Here is an 18,489-nt window from a genome sequence, read left to right on the forward strand (position 1 = left end):
CAAATGCCAAGCACTGTGCTAAATGCTTTCAATGTTGATTCATTGCGTCTTTACAATACCCCATCACATAGGTATGTTCAGTTTCCTATTAGGGAAACTGAAGTGTGGAGGGAAGCCCCTTGTCCAAGGTCACTCCACTAGTAAGTAGCGAAGCCAGTATTTGCACCTAGGCCTCCAGGCTCCAGAACCAACACTATTAGCCCTACCACAGACGACAAGTCAGGCCCTCAGATATCACACTCCTGGCTCATCCCCAGAATACTGAAGATGAAGAATTAGTGGCCCAGAGTGGGAGGTCATTGTTCCAAGGTCACACAAGTCTGGTGGCGGAGCTGGGACTGGAACACCTCTCTTGACGCCCACACAGGCCCGACCGTTTGCTTATCTGCACAGAGCTTGAAGTCTAGGAGAGGAAGGGGTTTCTATTTATATCTGCCCTCCCCCACCTGAAACTAGGGGCTTCAGTTCAGTTTGAAGCTATGATCACTCATGGCTGCCTCAGACTAAGCTAGACTTTATAGGAGGGGTTACCATGGCAACAGGAGCCCAGATTTGGATCCAATGGAAATACCTGAAGTCTCCTAAAAGTACCCTCCCCTCCACCTAGAATTATGGAGCTGGGGAGTAACTTTGTGTGACCTTGCAAAGTCCCTGCTCCTCTCTGAGTCTCAGTGTGTCCATCTGCAGAATGGAATTCTGTATGAATAAGTTCCTTCCTGCTTTGACACACTGAGTGTATAATTTTTGGATTCATCTGTTGCCCTATCCCATGCTGGAGATTGGGGGTAAGACTGGTGCCCATACCCTCATTTTCTCATTTCTCCTTTTTAGCCCCTCTTGGTTGGCTGCCTGGGGATCTGCCCTTCTACAGGAAAGAATCAACTTCCCTGAGCACTCTCTGAGGGACAGTAGCTGATAATTAAGGTTCAAATCCCAGCACTGACACTCACTATGTAATCGTGGGAAAATCATTTTAACTTTCTGAGTCTCAGTTTCTTCACCTGCAATATGGGAATTATACTCCCTACCTTTCACCACTTGTTGCCAGGATGAAGTGGATCATGAGACTAGTGTCCTGGGCACAGCACCTGGCACACAGTGGTGGCATTCACCACCATCCCCACCGCCTCAGCCAAGCCAAACGGTCTGGAGGCACTAGTCAACAGAACCAGTACCAGGGAGACCCCAGAGGGTACGGTATGTATTCAAGGTGGAGACAAAGGCTGATACCCTTTCCCAAAGCACCTGCTGGGGGCTGGGACCCTGAGAAACAGATGGGCAGGAATAGTGAACCCAGCAGCTGGGGGTGTGCAAGGATTTTAACAACTATGTTTAGTTGCTTTGGGAGTATCTGCTGGCCTCCATTTTTCCTCTCCGCTAACAGCAGTAATTAACTAGGCACCTACAGTGTGCTGGTGTGGTGAGCCCTGCTCTCAGAAACATCACAACTCTGTCATCCTCTTATACAGTTGAGGAAACAGATTCAGAGGCGGGACGGGACTTTTGCAACCTCACACAGCTGATCCTGGATTCAAACACAGTCTGGTTGCACCCTAACTGCACCCCACTAGCGGTCAGTCCTGGGGGCTGAAAGCTCTATCCTGTGCAAGGTGGAGATAGTCAGATCAGGAGACCCAAATCCAGCTGTCAGGGCTCCCTGCAGCCTTCCTGGGTCCTTAGATTCCTAGGTCCTTGCTGGCCTTCTGCCTGTGACCCCAGCCTGTGCCTGCACCCAGGCCTCCTATCCACCCCTGTGCTTCCCAGACTCCAGGCTTCCCCTCTGCACCCACCTTGGTTGCTTCTCAGGGACTCCCTCCTCCCTGTCCCACTGGTGTCCCGGCCTCAACCCCCTTTCTCCACACTCTGCTTTCCGGGGGACCCCTCTTGTCCTTGATGTTCATGCTGGTTACCCCTCAGACCCCCCCGCCTCCACACAGAACTCCCACCCACGTGTCCTTGGTGCTCCCACAATCTTATCCACACCTGTGTCTTCCGTGCCCCCTAAGGCCACCAACTACTGAAACCCCCTCCAACCTTGGTGTGCCCAGTGCCCTCCGTTACCTGTTTCCTCAGACCCCCCTTACCCCCAGACAGGAAGCCTCCAGCTCCATGTCCTGGGCGCGCTGCCAGCCCCCTGCGCCCTCGGCTGCCCCCAGACACCACGACCCCGCGCCCTCGGTGTCCCGCGCCCACCTTTGATGCTGATGCCCAGCCCACCGGCGTCGGCCTTGCGCACCGTCACGCGGCGCCGCTGGAGCAGTAGCGCCTCTGGCAGCTGCGGGGGCCCGGCGCCCGGCTCCGCGGCGCCGTTGAGCTGCGCGGGCTCCTGCTCCCGCGGAGCGCCGGGCTCGGGACCAGGGTCGCCGTCGGCGGGGCTCACGGTCAGCACGTCCTCCGCCAGACTCAGCAGCACCCGCTGCCATCGCTCGCCGCCGGCCCCCGAGCCCGCCCCGGCGCGCAGCTCCAGCAGCCCGGTGCGCGGGGCGCGCCTGCCGGACGCCATCTTCGCCTCCGAGCCCCCGGGCCGCCGCGCTCGCCCTGTCCCGCTTTGCCCAGCCCGCTCCGACCAAGCGCCCAGGGCAGAGGGCAGCGGGGGCCCGGCTGGGCCAGCCGCCACCCTACCCCGGCCGCTGGGGGAGGAGCTCTGGGGGCGGGGCTACCCTGGGGTGTGGCCAGTGCTGGGGAGGGGGCCTCGGGCAAATGCAGGAGGCCGGGGCGGGGCCCGGGAGCCGAGGGCCGCCGTGTGGGACTACCTAGCGGGGTGGGTCAGAAGGGCGGCGGGGCGGGCCACTAAGTAAGGCGAAAGCCCGGGAGGCGTGGTGCTGGGCGGGGCGTCAGGGGGCGGGGCTTCGCGTCGGGGGCGGAACCCAGTGAGCCCGCGCAGGGGGCTCGGCGCTCGGAATGCCCATCGAGGGCCGGGACTGTAACTCCCGGACGTGGGAGCGCATGAAAAAGAGACAGAACCACGTATCCTGGTGCGAAGCACTGGGCATCGGGCTGGGCTGCATATGGCGGAGGGCTGGGCTGCGTATGGTAGAGCGTTGGACTCCAAGGCTTGAGTTTAAGAGGTAGACACCGTCTGGGCGTGGAGGCTCACGCCTGTAATCCCAACACTTTGGGAGGCCTAGATGACAGCCCAGAAGCTCGAGGCTGCAGTAAGCCGCGATCGCGCCACTGCACTCCAGCCTGGGTGACAGAGCGAAACCCTGTGTCAAAAAAAAAAAAAAAAAAAAAAGGTAGATGCTGAGCCGCGAGAGACCTTGCGGGCACAGTTGCTAGTTGGGGAGCTGAGGAAGAAGTTGGTTTCCTATCGGGGAGGGCGGGGGATGGGGGGTGGGGGTCGAGGCTTTGGTCTGTGGGCGTGGCTTATCGCTGGCGTGGCTTCTAAAGATGACAGGCCCCGCCCCCTGGAGGAGACCGCTACCGACACCGCTTAGGGCTTGGGGGAGGTGTGGGCAGGATCCCCACTTCAAAACTGGAGGGAAGTTTAAGAGATTAACCCCTGGCTGTGTTCACAGTCGAGTATAGAAAAGCCTGAAGTCCCACACTTTGAGGCCTGGCAGAAAAAAAACAGAACTGGTGTGTGGGAAGAGGGTTGCAAGGTGGGGCTCTGGGTCTGGGCGACTGGAGACATGGTTTCTAATCTTTGCTGCCTCTGTTAGCTCCAAGTCGACTTTGGTCCCCTCACGTCACTGCTCTAGGCCTCAATTTCCTCATCTGTAAAATGTGGATCATAATAATACCTACTTCACTGGGCTGGTGTGAGGATTAAATCAATGTGAAAACACGTGGTAAACTGTGACTCCCTATTCTATAGAAATAATCACTTTCATTTAGTGAATGCTTACTCTTACCTAGGGCTGGCAGAATATTTTCCAAGTGTTATCTTTACATTAGCCTCCTGGAGTAGCTAAGAGCACCCCCAGCTGGGCACAGTGGCTCACACCTGTAATCACAGCTGAGGTGGCAGGATCGCTTGAGCCTTGGAGGTCCAGGCTGCAGTGAGCTGTGATTGCACCATCACACTCCAGCCTTGGTGACAGAGCAAGAAAAAAGAGCACCCCTATTATACAGAAGGGAAAACTTGGATTTAGTCTAATTGGCCTAGGTCACACATTTATGAGTGAGGAAGAGCTGCGATTCAAACCCAGGCCTGTTTGACACCAGTGCCTGGGCACTGAACCACTCTGCTAGACAGCTGACAAATACAGAGGTAAAGCATGATTGTAATCTGAAAAATCCACCACATCACACAGCTCAACTGGCCTTCATACCTGCTCCTTGTCTCTATCCTCCATTCCTAGCTGGGATATGTTGAGCAATAAATAAGTAGGACTACACCAGTGTTTAGCCTCCCTGAACTTTTGGGTAAAATCCTCCACATAAGATACCATCAAGAAAAAAAAGAGGGGGCCAGGTATGGTGGCTCATGCCTGTAATCCCAGCACTTTAGGAGGCCGAGGCAGGTAGATCACGAGGTCAGGAGTTTGAGACTCAGCCTGGCCAACATGGTGAAACCCCATCTCTACTAAAAATATAAAAAAATTAGCCGGGCGTGGTGGCAGACACCTATAATCCCAGCTACTCAGGAGGCTGAGGCAGGAGAATCACTTGAACCCGGGAGGCGGAGATTGCAGCAAGCAGAGATTGCACCACTGCACTCCAGCCTGGGTGATAGGGTGAGACTCCGTCTCAAAAAAAAAAAAAAAAAAAACCAACAACAAAAAAAAGGAATTGTTTTAAGTTAGAGTGGTAGGTGTCAAAACAGGAGAGACACAGGTTTTAAAAAAAGAACCCAGGGTCTTTTATACATATATATATGGGATGCCGAGGAGGAATGATCACTTGAGGCTAGGAGTTTGAGACCACTTGGGCAACTTCACGAGACTCCATCTCTACAAAATAAAGAAATTAGCCAAGCGTGGTAATGTGCACCTGTACTCCCAGCTACTTAGGAAGCTGCAGCAGGAGGCCTGTTTGAGGCTGCTGCTGTGAGCCACAATCATGCCACTGCACTCCAGCCTGGGTGACAGAGCAAGACCCTGTCTCAAAAATAAATAAAAGAAAGTGAGAGGAAGGAAGGAGAGAAGGGAGGCAGGGAAGGAATATAGCATTGTATATAAGCATTGATATCTTAAAAGTATGACTGTGCTTAAAGATTGTAGGACAGCCTGAGGAATTTGGGGTAAGCACTTGTGATAAATAACTACAGCCTACTTGGCTTGTGGAAGCTTCACTCCAATGGTAGAGAAGGGAGGGGAGGACAGACCTGGCAGGAGGCAAGAGACCAGCAGGGAATTGAAGCTCCTTTCCCAAGACCAAAGCCTGGAACCAGATCCTTAAAAGTCCCCCCACGTACTGCCCTGCTTAAAAAAGACTTAATGAGGCCCAGACAAACTTACTGAGAAAGAGCCCTAAGAGAGGGCTTCTCCTCTGGGGGACAGTTTCCTGTGGATATAACAGGAAGGAAGGAAGTAGGGAAAGGAGTGATGTGTGCAAAGGGGCTAACACAGAAAGAAGATGTAGAGCCAAGGAAACAGTGACGTGTGTATGCATATGTATACGTCTGTATGTGAGTATGGGTGTGTGTGTTTGTGATCACACTTGATAGGCAGTGCCAATCACCTGTAGCTACCCCCAAGAACCCTGTAGCTGCAGGAATGCTCTATCCCTACACTGTGGTCAGCCGATGCCTCTCTGCTGTGGCTCAGAAATTGGCCTCCCAGATAGATACACATAGGCCCGGCTCCCTGCCAAGCCCCAGGCAGAGCTCCCAGAGAAAACCAGTTCACTCCCAAGGAATAGGAGAGGGGGAAGGGGAAAAAAAGGGAGAGAGGGGAGCTGCCCAGCCTACTAAAGTCTCTGCAAGCTCTGGCCAGGCGCGGTGGCTCACACCTGTAATCCCAGCACTTTAGGAGGCCTAGGCGGCTGGATCACCTGAGGTCAGGAGTTCAACAGCAGCCTGGCCAACATGGTAAAACCCCATTCTCTACAAAAATACGAAAATTAGCTGGGCACGGTGGCTCAAGCCTGTAATCCCAGCACTTTGGGAGGCCGAGGTGGGCAGATCACGAGGTCAAGCTATCGAGACCATCCTGACCAACATGGTGAAACCCCGTCTCTACTAAAATACAAAAACTTGGCTGGGCACGGTGGCTCATGCCTGTAATCCCAGCACTTTGGGAGGCCGAGGCGGGCGGATCGCGAGGTCAGGAGATCAAGACCATTCTGGCTAACACAGTGAAACCCCATCTCTACTAAAAATACAAAAAGAAATTAGCAGGGCGTGGTGGCGGGCGCCTGTAGTCCCAGCTACTCAGGAGGCTGAGGCAGGAGAATGGCGTGAACCTGGGAGGCGGAGCTTGCAGTGAACCAAGATGTGCTGCTGCACCTCAGCCTGGGTGTCAAAGCGAGACTCCGTCTCAAAAAAAAAAAAATCTATGCATAAATCCTAAACAATCTACTGTTTAGTTTTACATTTTTTAACATCACATAAATGGACATTTCTCCTTCTGCTTTTGGAAGTTATATTCTCTAGTTGTATTAAGAGCACTCTATTATCTTCAATTACTTACTCTCCCAAATTATTTGCTATGTTGTTAAGTATTTAGCGCTAAATATTTTTCTTTTTATTTATTTATTATTATTATTTTTTTAAGACGGAGTTTCACTCCTATTGCCCAGGATGGGGTGCAGTGGCGCGATCTCCACTCACTGCAACCTCCGCCTCCCGGGTTCAAGCGATTCTCCTGCCTCAGCCTTCCAAGCAGCTGGGATTACAGGCGCCCGCCATCACACCCAGCTAATTTCTGTATTTTTAGTAAAAACAGGGTTTCTGCAGTGAAACCCCATCTCTACTAAAAATACAAAAAATTGGCCAGGCATGTTGGTACACGCCTGTAGTCCCACCTTCTTGGAAGGCTGAGGCAGGAGAATCTCTTGAACCCAGGAGGCAGATGTTGCAGTGAGCTGAGATCACACCACTGCACTCCAGCCTGGGTGACAGAGTGAGACTCTGTCTCAAAAAAAAAAAAAAAAAGGGGGTTTCACCACGTTGGCCAGGATGGTCTTGAACTCCTGACCTCAGATGATCCGCCCACCTCGGCCTCCCAAAGTGCTGGAATTACAGGTGTGAGCCATCGCACCCAGCCTCTTTTTATTTAGTTTTTTATTTTATTTTATTTTATTTTATTTTGAGACTGAGTCTCACTCTGTCACCCAGGCTGGAGTGCAATGGCACTATCTTGACTCACTGCAACCTCTGCCTCCCAGGTTCAAGCGATTCTTCCAACTCAGCCTCTAGAGTAGCTGGGATTACAGGCACATGCCACCACGCCCAGCTAATTTTTGTATTTTTGTAGAAACGGAATTTCACCATGTTGGCCAGGCTGGTTTCAAACTCCTGACCTCAGGCAACCTGCCCGCCTCAGCCTCCCAAAGTGCTGGGATTACAGGCATGAGCCACTGCACCCAGCCTGAAGGTGGCAGGCAAAGCTTTCTATCAAAGAAGGCCAAATGCCTCTTGCCCAATCTTTAATTATCTCTTAAATTAGAATATCTTACTCAAATCTCCATGTCTCTTAACTTTCTTTCATATCTTCTCTTTACTTTTTTCCATACTGCATTCTGAGTAATTTCTTCAGTGATATCTTCCAGTTTACTAATTCTTTCTTTAACTAGAACTAATCTACTGTTTATCCTATTCTTTGAATTTAAAATATCAATTGTTACTTTTTTATTTCTAGAAATTCTACTTTTTTTTTTTTTTTTTTTTTGAGACGGAGTCTCACTCTGTCACCCAGGCTGGAGTGCAGTGGCACAATCTCAGCTCACTGCAACCTCCACCTCCTGGATTCAAGCAATTCTCCTGCCTCAGCCTCCTGAGTAGCTGGGGTTAAAGGCGCATGCCACCACATCCAGCTAGTTTTGGGGTTTTTTTTGTTTGTTTGTTTGTTTGTTTGAGATGGAATCTCACACTGTTGCCCAAGCTGGAGTGCAGTGTCACGATCTCAGCTCACTGCAACCTCTGCCTCCCAGCTTCAAGGGATTCTCCTGCCTCAGCCTCTCAAATAGCTGGGATTACAGGCACCTGCCACCACGCCCAGCTAATTTTTTGTATTTTCAGTAGAGACAGGGTTTCACTATGTTGGCCAGGCTGGTCTCAAACTCCTGATCTCGTGATCCACCCACCTCGGCCTCCCAAAGTGCTGGGATTACAGGTGTGAGCCACCACGCCCTGCCATAATTTTTGTATTTTTAGTAGAGACAGGGTTTCACCATGTTGATCAGGCTAGTCTTGAACTCCTGACCTCATGATCCGCCTGCCTCAGCCTCCCAAAGTGCTGGGATTACAGGCATAAGCCACCATGCCCGGCCCTACTTTTTTTTCCACATCTGTCTGATTATGTTTATAGTATCTTTTTTTTTTTTTGAGACAGAGTCTTGCTCTGTCCCCCAGGCTGGAGTGCAATGGCGTGATCTTGGCTCACTGCAACCTCCACCTCCCGGGTTCAAGTGATTCTCTTGCCTCAGCCTCCCAAGTTATCTGGGATTACAAGTGCCCACAACCACCCCCGGCTAATTTTTTGTATTTTTAGTAGAGACGGGGGTTTTGCCATCTTGGCCAGGCTGGTCTCGAACTCCTGACCGCAGGTGATCCACCCGCCTCAGCCTCCCAAAGTGCTGGGATTACAGGCGTGAGCCACCATAACTGGCATAGTCTCTCTATTCTTTACCCATGCTTTTGATACCCTTTTGAAATGTATTTAAACCTATGAATTGTACTTATTTTATATTATCTATATAGTAGTTCTTTTTTGTTTTTATTTTATTTATTTATTTATTTTTGAGGCAGGGTCTCACTCTGACGCCCAGGCTGGAGTGCAATGGCATGATCTCAGCTCACTGCAACCTCCACCTCCCAGGTTCAAGCGATTCTTCTGCCCCAGGCTCCCAAGTAGCTGGGATTACAGACATGTGCCACCACTCGCAACTAATTTTTTGAATTTTTAGTGGAGACGGGGTTTCACCATGTTGGCCAGGCTGGTCTCGAACTCCTGACCTCAAATGATCCACCCGCCTCGGCCTCCCAAAGTGTTGGGATTAAAGGTGTGAGCCACCGCGCCCAGCCTCTTTTTGTTTTTAAAGAGACGGGGCTTGCTTTGTGATGCAGACTGGAGTACAGTGGCATGATCCTAGCTTCCTGCAGCCTCTAACTCCTGGGCTCAAGACAGGCGAGCCCCAAATTGGGCCTTAGCCTGGGAAAGTTCTTGGCTTCTCCCAGGAAATAATTCAAAGGTGAGCCAGTGGTATCAGACAGCAACTTTTATTGAAGCAGCAGCGTACAGCAGCAGCAGAGGGACTGCCCTTGCAGAGGAGGGTTAACACACAGGCAGTGTGCCCAGAAGAGTTTCATATGGGCTGGGGGCAGCTGTATTTATACCCACTTTTTTTTTTTTTGAGACGGAATCTGGCCCTGTTGCCCAGGTTGGAGTACAGTGGCATGATCTTGGCTCACTGCAGCCTCTACCCCACTGATTCCAGAGATTCTCCTGCCTCAGCCTCCCAAGTAGCTGGGATTACAGGTGTGTGCCACCACACCTGGTTCATTTTTTTGTATTTTTAGTAGAGATGGAGTTTCACTATGTTGGCCATGAACTCCTGACTTCAGGCGATCTGCCCGCCTCAGCCTCCCAAAGTGCTAGGATTACAGACGTGAGCCACCCCGCCCGGCCTAGACCCACTTTTAATTATACACAAATTAAGAGGCAAGTTATTCAGAACGTTCTGGAAAATGGACAGTTTCTGGAACCATATAAGGTAACTTCTGGGCCATTGCCATGGCCATTGCCAGAGCCTTTCTAAACTATCATGGCACTAGTGGGAGTGTCTTTATGCAAATGAGCAGTGAGGGCAACTAGCGGTCACTTTAGTCACCATCTGCTGATTTTGGCTGGCGTCTTCACTGCACCCTGGATTGACCAGTTTCTGCTCTGATCAGCGGGATGGTGACCAGTCATAACCAGTGCTTGGAAAACAAATCTTGCTGATCTACCTCAAAATTCCTGGGTTCAAGCTATCCTCCTGCCTCAGCCTCCCAAAGCACTGGGATTACAGGCATGAGCCTATATAGTAATTCTGATTCTGAAGTGTTGGTGGCTCTTTTTACTTTTTCTTTTTTAAAATTTGTTTTAATTGGCCGGGCGCGGTGGCTCATGCCTGTAATCCCAGCACTTTGGGAGGCCGAGGCAGGCGGATCACAAGGTCAGGAGATCGAAACCATCCTGGCTAACACAGTGAAACCCCATCTCTACTAAAAATACAAAAAATTAGCCAGGCGTGGTGGCAGGCGCCTGTGGTCCCCGCTACTCTGGAGGCTGAGGCAGGAGAATGGTGTGAACCCGGGAGGCAGAGGTTGCAGTGAGCCGAGATTGTACCACTGCACTCCAGCCTGGGCGAAAGAGCGAGACTCCATCTAAAAAAAAAAAAAAAAAATTTGTTTTAATTTACTTTAAATAGAAACGGGGTCCCACTATGTTGCCCAGGCTGGTCTGGAACTCCTGGACTCAAGCCATCCTCCCACCTTGGCCTCCCAAAGTCCCAAGATTACAGGCATGAGCCACTGAGCCCAGCCTTTTTCTTAAAGCAATAAAAGAATGGCTACTCCATAGACAGCAGCTGGTGGATCTTTTTTCTTCATTACACATGTGTAATCTTGTCAACTACACAGTTTATATGCATTCTTTGAGGTCTGGTATGAAGTAGGTTCTATTCCTTCAGAGAGGATTTGTGGGTACTTCTGTCAGATGCCTGATGGGACAGCCAACCTAAGAGTGCTTTCAGGGCCGGGCGTGGTCGCTCACGCCTATAATCCCAGCACTTTGGGAGGCCAAGGCAGGTGGATCATGAGGTCAGGAGTTTGAGACCAGCCTGACCAACATGGTGAAACACAGTCTTTACTAAAAATACAAAACTTAGCCGGGCATGATGGTGCGTGTCTGTCATCCCAGCTACTCAGGAGGCTGAGACAGGAGAATCACTTGAACCCGGAAAGCGGAGCTTGCACTGACCTGAGATCGCGACACTGCACTCCAGCCTGGGTGACAGAGCAAGACTCTGTCTCAAAAAAAGAGTGCTTTCAGTACTTAGCATGAGGCCAGTCACGGTGGCTCACACCTGTAATCTCAGCACTTTAGGAGGCCAAGGCAGGCAGATCACCTGAGGTCAGGAGTTTGAGACCAGCCTGGCCAACATGATGAAACCCCGTCTCTACCAAAAATAAAAAATTAGCCGGGCGTGGTGGTGAATGCCTGTAATCCCAGCTACTTGGGAGGTTGAGGCAGAAGAATCGCTCGGACCTGGGAGGCGGAGGTTGCAATGAGCAGAGATCATGCCACTATACTCCAGCCAGGTCATCAAGAGCGAAATGCCGTCTCAAAAAATAAAATAAAATAAAATATTTTAGCACGGGATCTTTTGATTCACACAAAGAGTAGAAATACAGGTTGCAATCCCATGTGAGGTTACGAATTCTCAGAGATGCTTTCCCCCTCTGCCCACCATGTTCACGATGGAGAAATTTCTTTGCTGGTGCCCTCTGCAAGATTTTTGCAGTCCGCTCTTTCTTTCTTTTTTTTTTTTTTTTTTGAGATGAAATCTTGCTCTGTTGCCCAGGCTGGAGTGCAATGGCGTGATCTCGGCTCACTGCAACCTCCGCCTCCTGGGTTCAAGTGATTCTCCTGCCTCAGCTTCCTGAGTAGCTGGGATTATAGGCACCCACCACCACGCCTGAGTAATTTTTTACTTTTGGTAGAGGTGGGGTGTCACCATGCTGGCCAGGCTGGTCTCAAACTCCCGACCTCAGGCGATCTGCCTGCCTTGGCCTTCCAAAGTGCTAGGATTACAGGTGTAAGCCACCACACCCGGCCCAGTCCACTCTTTCAATGAGGATGCAGGCTTTCCAGACCCTGGCTTTATGTGGGGGTCACCTAACAGCTTTTTCACCCTGGGTGGGCCCTGGGTTTCTCTCTTGCCCCATAATTCCAAATGTGCATCAAAACTGAAGCTTTGTGGCCGGGCGGAGTGGCTCACACCTATAATCCCAGCACTTTGGGAGGCTGAGGTGGGTGGATCACGAGCTCAGGTGATCAAGACCATCCTGAACTGGGTTTCAACATGGTGAAACCCAGTCTCTACTAAAAATACAAAAATTAGCTCGGTATAGTGGTGCCTGCCTGTAATCCCAGCTACTCGGGAGGCTGAGGCATGAGAATCGCTTGAACCCAACAGGCAGAGGTTGCAGTGAGTCGAGATAACGCTGCTGCACTCCAGCCTGGGTGACAGAACGAGACTCTGTCTCAAAAAAAAAAAAAAAAAAAAGGCCGGGCTCAGTGGCTCACACCTGTAATCCCAGCATTTCAGGAGGCCGAGGCGGGCGGATCATAAGGTCAGGAGATCGAGACCATCCTGGCTAACAAGGTGAAATCCTGTCTCTACTAAAAAATACAAAAAATTAGCCGGGCGTGGTGGCAGGCGCCTGTAGTCCCAGCTACTTGGGAGGCTGAGGCAGGAGAATGGCCTGAAACCAGGAGGCAGAGCTTGCAGTGAGCAGAGATCGTGCCACTGCACTCCAGCCTGGGTGACAGAGTGAGACTCTGTCTCAAAAAAAAAAAAAACTGAAGCTTCTTGGCTGGGCACAGTGGCTCGTGCCTGCAATCCCAACACTTTGGGAGACTGAGGCTGGTGGATCACCTGAGGTCAGGAATTCAAGACCCACCTGGCTGATATGGTGAAACCATGTCTCTACTAAAAATAAAAAATTAGCCAGGCATGGGGGCACGCAGCTGTAATTCCAGCTACTCAAGAGGCTGAGGCAGGAGAATCACCTGAACTTAGGAGGCAGTGGTTGCAGTGAGCCAAGATCGAGCCACCACCACACTCCAGCCTGGGCGGCAGAGCAAGACTCTGTCTCAAAAATAAATAAATAAATAATTTTTAAAAATGATAAAACTGTAAAGAAATTGTTTTTAAGAAAAACAAAAAGTTAGCCAGTCATGGTGCTGTGCACCTTGTAGCCCTAGCTATCCAAGAGGCTGAGGCCAATTGATTGAGCTTGAGAATAAAAGAGTTCGAGGCTGCAGTGAGCTATGATCACACCGCTGCAGTCTAGACTGGGTGACAGAGTGAGACTGTGTCTCTTAAAAAAAAAAAAAATTAGGGCTGGGCACGGTGGCTCAAGCCTGTAATCCCAGCACTTTGGGAGGCCGAGGCAGGCGGATCACGAGGTCAGGAGATCAAGACCAGCCTGGCTAACATGGCAAAACCCCATCTCTACTAAAAATACAAAAAATTAGCCGGGCGTGGTGGCAGGTACCTGTAGTCCCAGCTACTCGGGAGGCTGAGGCAGGAGAATGGCATGAACCCGGGAGGCGGAGCTTGCAGTGAGTCAAGATCGCACCACTGTACTACAGCCTGGGCGACAGAGCGAGACTCCATCTCAAAAAAAAAAAAAAATTAGGCCGGGCACGGTGACTCACACCTGTAATCCCAGCACTTTGGGAGGCTGAGGCAGGCAGATCACTGAGATCAGGAGTTCGAGACCAGCCTGGCCAACATGCTGAAACCTCATCTCTACTAAAAATACAAAAAGTTAGCTGGGCGCGGTAGCATGCCTGTAGTCCCAGCTACTCAGGAGGCTGAGGTAGCAGAATCACTTGAACCCAGGAGGCAGAAGTTGCAGTGAGCCAAGATTGCACCACTGCACTCCAGCCTGGCGACAGAGCAAGACTCTGTCTCAAAAAAAAAAATGAAGTTGTTCACAGGGCAGGTGGTGGTGACCTGAACTAGAAAGGTGACTGCAGTGGGGATGGAAAGGGCTAAATATAATTAAGAGGTATTAAGGAGGTAAGATTGCTAAGCCTTGCTGATGGCTTGCGTGAAGGAGATTAAGGAGAGTCAATGACATATGGAAGATATTTAAAGTGTGTGACAGTCTTAAGATAACCTATAGGAAGAGAGCATAGAGAAAGAAGAAAAATGGGCCATGTGCTGAGCCCTGGAGTAGATACAAAGCTGAAGAGGAGAGAGCAAGCATAGACAAACCAGCTCTGGAAGCAGCACACTCGCTGTAGTGAGGGGTGTATAGGATGGTGATTAACAAGTTTTCCACTTAAACCAGACATGAATCCTGGGCCTGCAATTCTGGCCCCACAGCAAGAAAATCAACCTTGTTGGGTGATGGTGATGCTTCAAACTGGGCTCTGATGATGCTCAATTAGGGAGGAGTAAGACACTTCCAGAGATTAGAAGCACAGGGGCCCGTACGCCATGGCTCACGCCTGTAATCCCAGCACTTTGGGAGGCCAAAGCGGGTGGATCACCTGAGGTTAGGAGTTCGAGACCAGCCTGACCAAAATGGTGAAACCCTGTCTTTACTAAAAATACAAAAATTAGCTGGGCATGGTTGCGGGCAGCTGTAATCCCAGCTACTCAGGAGGCTGAGGCAGGAGAATCTCTTGAACCCAGGAGGTGGAGGTTGCAGTGAGCCCAGATCTTCCCATTGCACTCCACTCCAGCCTGGGCAACAGAGAGACTCCTTCTCAAATAAAAAAAAAGAAGAAGAAGAAGAGGAAACACAGGGGATAGAAACCAGGGCAAAGGGTTTGGCTTTTTCTTTTTTTTTCACCCTCGAGACAGAGTCTTGCTCTGTCACCCAGGCTGTAGCGCAGTGGCCCGATCTTGGCTCACCGTAACCTCTGCCTCCTGGGTTCAAGCGATTCTCCTGCTTCAGCCTCCCGAGTAGCTGGGATTACAGGTGCGTCCCAGCACGCCGGCTAATTTTTGTATTTTTAGTTAAGACAGGGTTTCACCATGTTGGCCAGGCTGGTCTCAAACTCCTGACCTCATGATCCGCCCACCTTGGCCTCCCAAACTGTTGGGATTATAGGCATGAGCCACCCGGCCGGTTTTTTTTTTTTTTTTTTTTTTTTTTTTTGAGACAGGGTCTCACTCTGTTTCTTTTTTGTTTATTTCTTTGTTTTTGGAGAAGGGGGTCTCAATCCATCACCCAGGCTGGAGTGCAGTCGTGCAATCATGGCTCACTGCAACCTCCACCTCCCAGACTCAAGTGATCCTCCCACCTCAGCCTCCTGACTAGCTGTGATTACCAGTGTGCACCAATTTTTTTTTTCCCGTAGAGACAGGGTTTCACCATGTTGCCCAGGCTAGTTTGGAACTCCTGAGTTCATTTGATCCACCTACCTCAGCCTCCCAAAGTGCTGGGATTACAGGGGTGAGCCACCACACCCTGCAGGGTTTGGCTTTTTGGCTGGAGATGGTGAAAGGCCAGGCTTTTTCTTTTTTTTTCACCCTCGAGACAGAGTCTTGCTCTGTCACCCAGGCTGTAGCGCAGTGGCCCGATCTTGGCTCACCGTAACCTCTGCCTCCTGGGTTCAAGCGATTCTCCTGCTTCAGCCTCCCGAGTAGCTGGGATTACAGGTGCGTCCCAGCACGCCGGCTAATTTTTGTATTTTTAGTTAAGACAGGGTTTCACCATGTTGGCCAGGCTGGTCTCAAACTCCTGACCTCATGATCCGCCCACCTTGGCCTCCCAAACTGTTGGGATTATAGGCATGAGCCACCCGGCCGGTTTTTTTTTTTTTTTTTTTTTTTTTTTTTGAGACAGGGTCTCACTCTGTTTCTTTTTTGTTTATTTCTTTGTTTTTGGAGAAGGGGGTCTCAATCCATCACCCAGGCTGGAGTGCAGTCGTGCAATCATGGCTCACTGCAACCTCCACCTCCCAGACTCAAGTGATCCTCCCACCTCAGCCTCCTGACTAGCTGTGATTACCAGTGTGCACCAATTTTTTTTTTCCCGTAGAGACAGGGTTTCACCATGTTGCCCAGGCTAGTTTGGAACTCCTGAGTTCATTTGATCCACCTACCTCAGCCTCCCAAAGTGCTGGGATTACAGGGGTGAGCCACCACACCCTGCAGGGTTTGGCTTTTTGGCTGGAGATGGTGAAAGGCCAGGAAGATGTTATCCTTGGCAGAGAAAGATTCAGAGTCATGGTCTAGGAACTTTTAGTCCCAATCCAGAATTTCATGAGGGAGGAACCAGAGGCCCAAGAGGAGGTATCCCCAGCCATGTCCTTCCCACCCTTGTATTGGTCACTCACAAAAGACACTTGCTGCGCTGAAGACAGGCTGAAGATTTCGCATCCAGGCGCCACCTCTGACAGATGCCAGGAGGGGGCAGCAGAGAGCCAGGGTCGCAAGGTCCTAGCAGGTGCCATGAGCCCTGCAAGTGGGAAGGTGGGAATAGGATGGGAAGCTGGGCTCCTTGAGGTTGTCACTTTTTGTTTGTCAGTTTGGTTTTGGTTTCTGAGGCAGAGTCTCACTCTGTCACCCAGGCTGAAGCATAGTAGCACAGCCACAGCTCACATGCAGCTTCGAACTCCTGGGTTCAAGTGATCCTCCCATCTCAGCCTCCCAGGTAGCCCACCACCAGGCCTGGCTATTTTTCTTTTTTTTTTTTTTTTTTAAGACGGAGTCTCACTCTTTCACCCAGGCTGGAGTGCAGTGGTGCTATCTTGGCTCACTGCAACCTCCGCCTTCCGGGTTCAAACGATTCTCCTGCCTCAGCCTCCCGAGCAACTGGGATTACAGGTGCCTGCCACTAGGCCCAGCTAATTTTTGTATTTTTAGTAGAGACAGGGTTTCACCATGTTGGTCAGGCTGGTCTCCAACTCCTGACCTTAGGATCCGCCCACCTTGGCCTCCCAAAGTGCTGGAATTACAGGCTTGAGCCACCGCACCCAGCCCAGGCCTGGCTATTTTTCTTTAATTTTCCGTAGAGATGGAGTCTCGCTGTGTTGCCCAGGCTGAGATTGTCACTTTCAAAGCATGTTTTTCCCTTCTCCATGTGAGGATTACACAACCATTTCACACATAATACCGATAATAATAATTATTATCACCATTATTATATCAGTCACCATTTAATGGGCCCCTCCCATCTCTGCATCCCAACCCTCCAGAGTCACAGACTGAACCAATGGAAAGAGAACCAGTGTGAGGGTGGGCACAGTGGCTCATGCCTGTAATCCCAGCACTTTGGGAGGTCAAGAAGGGTGGATCATTTGAGGTCAGGAGTTCGAGACCAACCTGGCCAACATGATGAAAACATGTCTTGGCTGGGCGCAGTGGCTCAGGCCTATAGTCCCAGCACACTGGGAGCCTGAGGCAGGTGGATCACAAGGTCAAGAAATCGAGACCATCCTGGCCAACATGGTGAAACCCTGTCTCTGCTAAAAATACAAAAATTAGGCCAGTCGCGGTGGCTCACGCCTGTAATCCCAGAACTTTGGGAGGCCGAGGTGGGCGGATCAGGAGGTCAGGAGATCAAGACCATCCTGGCTAACATGGTGAAACCCCATCTCTACTTAAAAAAAATACAAAAAATTAGCCGGGCGTGGTGGCGGGCACCTGCAGTCCCAGCTACTCGGGAGGCTGAGGCAGGAGAATGGCTTGAACCCAGGAGGCGGAGCTTGCAGTGAGCCGAGATCGCGCCACTGCACTCCAGCCTGGGCGACAGAGTGAGACTCCGTCTCAAAAAAAAAAAAACAAAAATTAGCTGGGCATGGTGGCATGTGACTGTAGTCCCAGCTACTCAGGAGGCTGAGGCAGGAGAATCGCTAGAACCCGGGAGGCGGAGGTTGCAGTAAGCAGAGATCGCGCCACTGCACTCCAGCCTGGCGACAGAGCGAGACTCGTCTCTTTTTTTTTGAGACTGAATTTCGCTGTTTTTGCCGAGGCAGGAGTATGATGGCTCGATCTCGGGTCACTGCAACCTCCGCCTCCCAGGTTCAAGCAATTCTCCTGCCTCAGCCTCCTGAGTAGCTAGGATTACAGGTGCATGCCACCATGCCCGGCTCATTTTTTGTATTTTTAGTAGAAATGGGGTTTCATCATGTTGGCCAGGCTGGTCTCGAACTCCTGACCTCAGGTGATCCACCTGCCTTGGCCTCCCAAAGTGCTGGGATTACAGGCATGAGCCACTGTGCCTGGCTGAGACTTTGTAAAAAAAAAAAAAAAAAAAAAACACACGGTGTGGGGGTCAGACCAAGGGTATCAAACCCTGATTTTCCCACGGCCTCATCATGTGACCTCAAACAGGTAACAGGTCACTTCCTCGCTGTCTCACTTTTCTCATCTGTAAAATGAGGATAATAAAACAAAAGACTGGAGGGTTCTGAAAGCACTAAATTGGCCTTGTGTAAGCAAAGTACCTGGCACATGAGAGACTCCATGAACTTCAGTTCCTTCCCCTGGCTTTATTTTAGTTATTTGTTTGTTTGTTTGCTTTTCTACTCCACAATAGAGGTAATGGACTGTTTTTATTTAAACAAATGTTAAAATGTCATTTAACAGATATTCACTGTCACTGTGTCCCTGGTCCTGTCCTTGGTACTGGTAACATAGAGTGGCATC

General features: G+C 50.6%; 1 protein-coding gene across 6 annotated transcripts in view, besides 7 other annotated features; it reads right to left on the reverse strand.

Moving 5' to 3' along the window:
* Positions 1-2,646, reverse strand: part of SNTA1 (syntrophin alpha 1) — a 35,807-nt gene extending 33,161 nt beyond the window's left edge. For 5 of the 6 annotated variants that reach the window (NM_001424413.1, NM_003098.3, XM_011529008.2 and 2 more), the window contains exon 1: positions 2,194-2,646. In NM_001424413.1, coding sequence (NP_001411342.1) covers positions 2,194-2,503 — 310 coding nt within the window. In that variant the 5' untranslated portion in view covers positions 2,504-2,646. Of the gene's footprint in view, positions 196-2,193 lie in introns of those variants that run through there. The other variant, XM_024451971.2, reaches the window with a different exon arrangement.
* Positions 2,192-2,251: a silencer, noted in NCBI's record as "silent region_12811". NCBI's record gives its function as "represses an Ori minimal core promoter by ATAC-STARR-seq in GM12878 lymphoblastoid cells {active_cell/tissue: GM12878}" and the evidence as "EXISTENCE:reporter gene assay evidence [ECO:0000049][PMID:35858748]".
* Positions 2,362-2,841: a silencer, noted in NCBI's record as "silent region_12812". NCBI's record gives its function as "represses an Ori minimal core promoter by ATAC-STARR-seq in GM12878 lymphoblastoid cells {active_cell/tissue: GM12878}" and the evidence as "EXISTENCE:reporter gene assay evidence [ECO:0000049][PMID:35858748]".
* Positions 3,072-3,141: an enhancer, noted in NCBI's record as "active region_17732". NCBI's record gives its function as "activates an Ori minimal core promoter by ATAC-STARR-seq in GM12878 lymphoblastoid cells {active_cell/tissue: GM12878}" and the evidence as "EXISTENCE:reporter gene assay evidence [ECO:0000049][PMID:35858748]".
* Positions 3,072-3,651: a biological region, named in NCBI's record as "H3K4me1 hESC enhancer GRCh37_chr20:32032043-32032543".
* Positions 3,120-3,620: an enhancer, noted in NCBI's record as "H3K4me1 hESC enhancer chr20:32032043-32032543 (GRCh37/hg19 assembly coordinates)". NCBI's record gives its function as "activates a minimal SCP1, AML or CMV promoter by ChIP-STARR-seq in primed H9 embryonic stem cells {active_cell/tissue: H9 hESC(primed)}" and the evidence as "EXISTENCE:reporter gene assay evidence [ECO:0000049][PMID:30033119]".
* Positions 3,592-3,651: an enhancer, noted in NCBI's record as "active region_17733". NCBI's record gives its function as "activates an Ori minimal core promoter by ATAC-STARR-seq in GM12878 lymphoblastoid cells {active_cell/tissue: GM12878}" and the evidence as "EXISTENCE:reporter gene assay evidence [ECO:0000049][PMID:35858748]".
* Positions 16,085-16,174: an enhancer, noted in NCBI's record as "active region_17734". NCBI's record gives its function as "activates an Ori minimal core promoter by ATAC-STARR-seq in GM12878 lymphoblastoid cells {active_cell/tissue: GM12878}" and the evidence as "EXISTENCE:reporter gene assay evidence [ECO:0000049][PMID:35858748]".

The sequence above is a fragment of the Homo sapiens genome, chromosome 20 (assembly GCF_000001405.40).
Source record: "Homo sapiens chromosome 20, GRCh38.p14 Primary Assembly".
In the NCBI taxonomy this organism is placed as follows: Eukaryota; Metazoa; Chordata; class Mammalia; order Primates; family Hominidae; genus Homo; species Homo sapiens.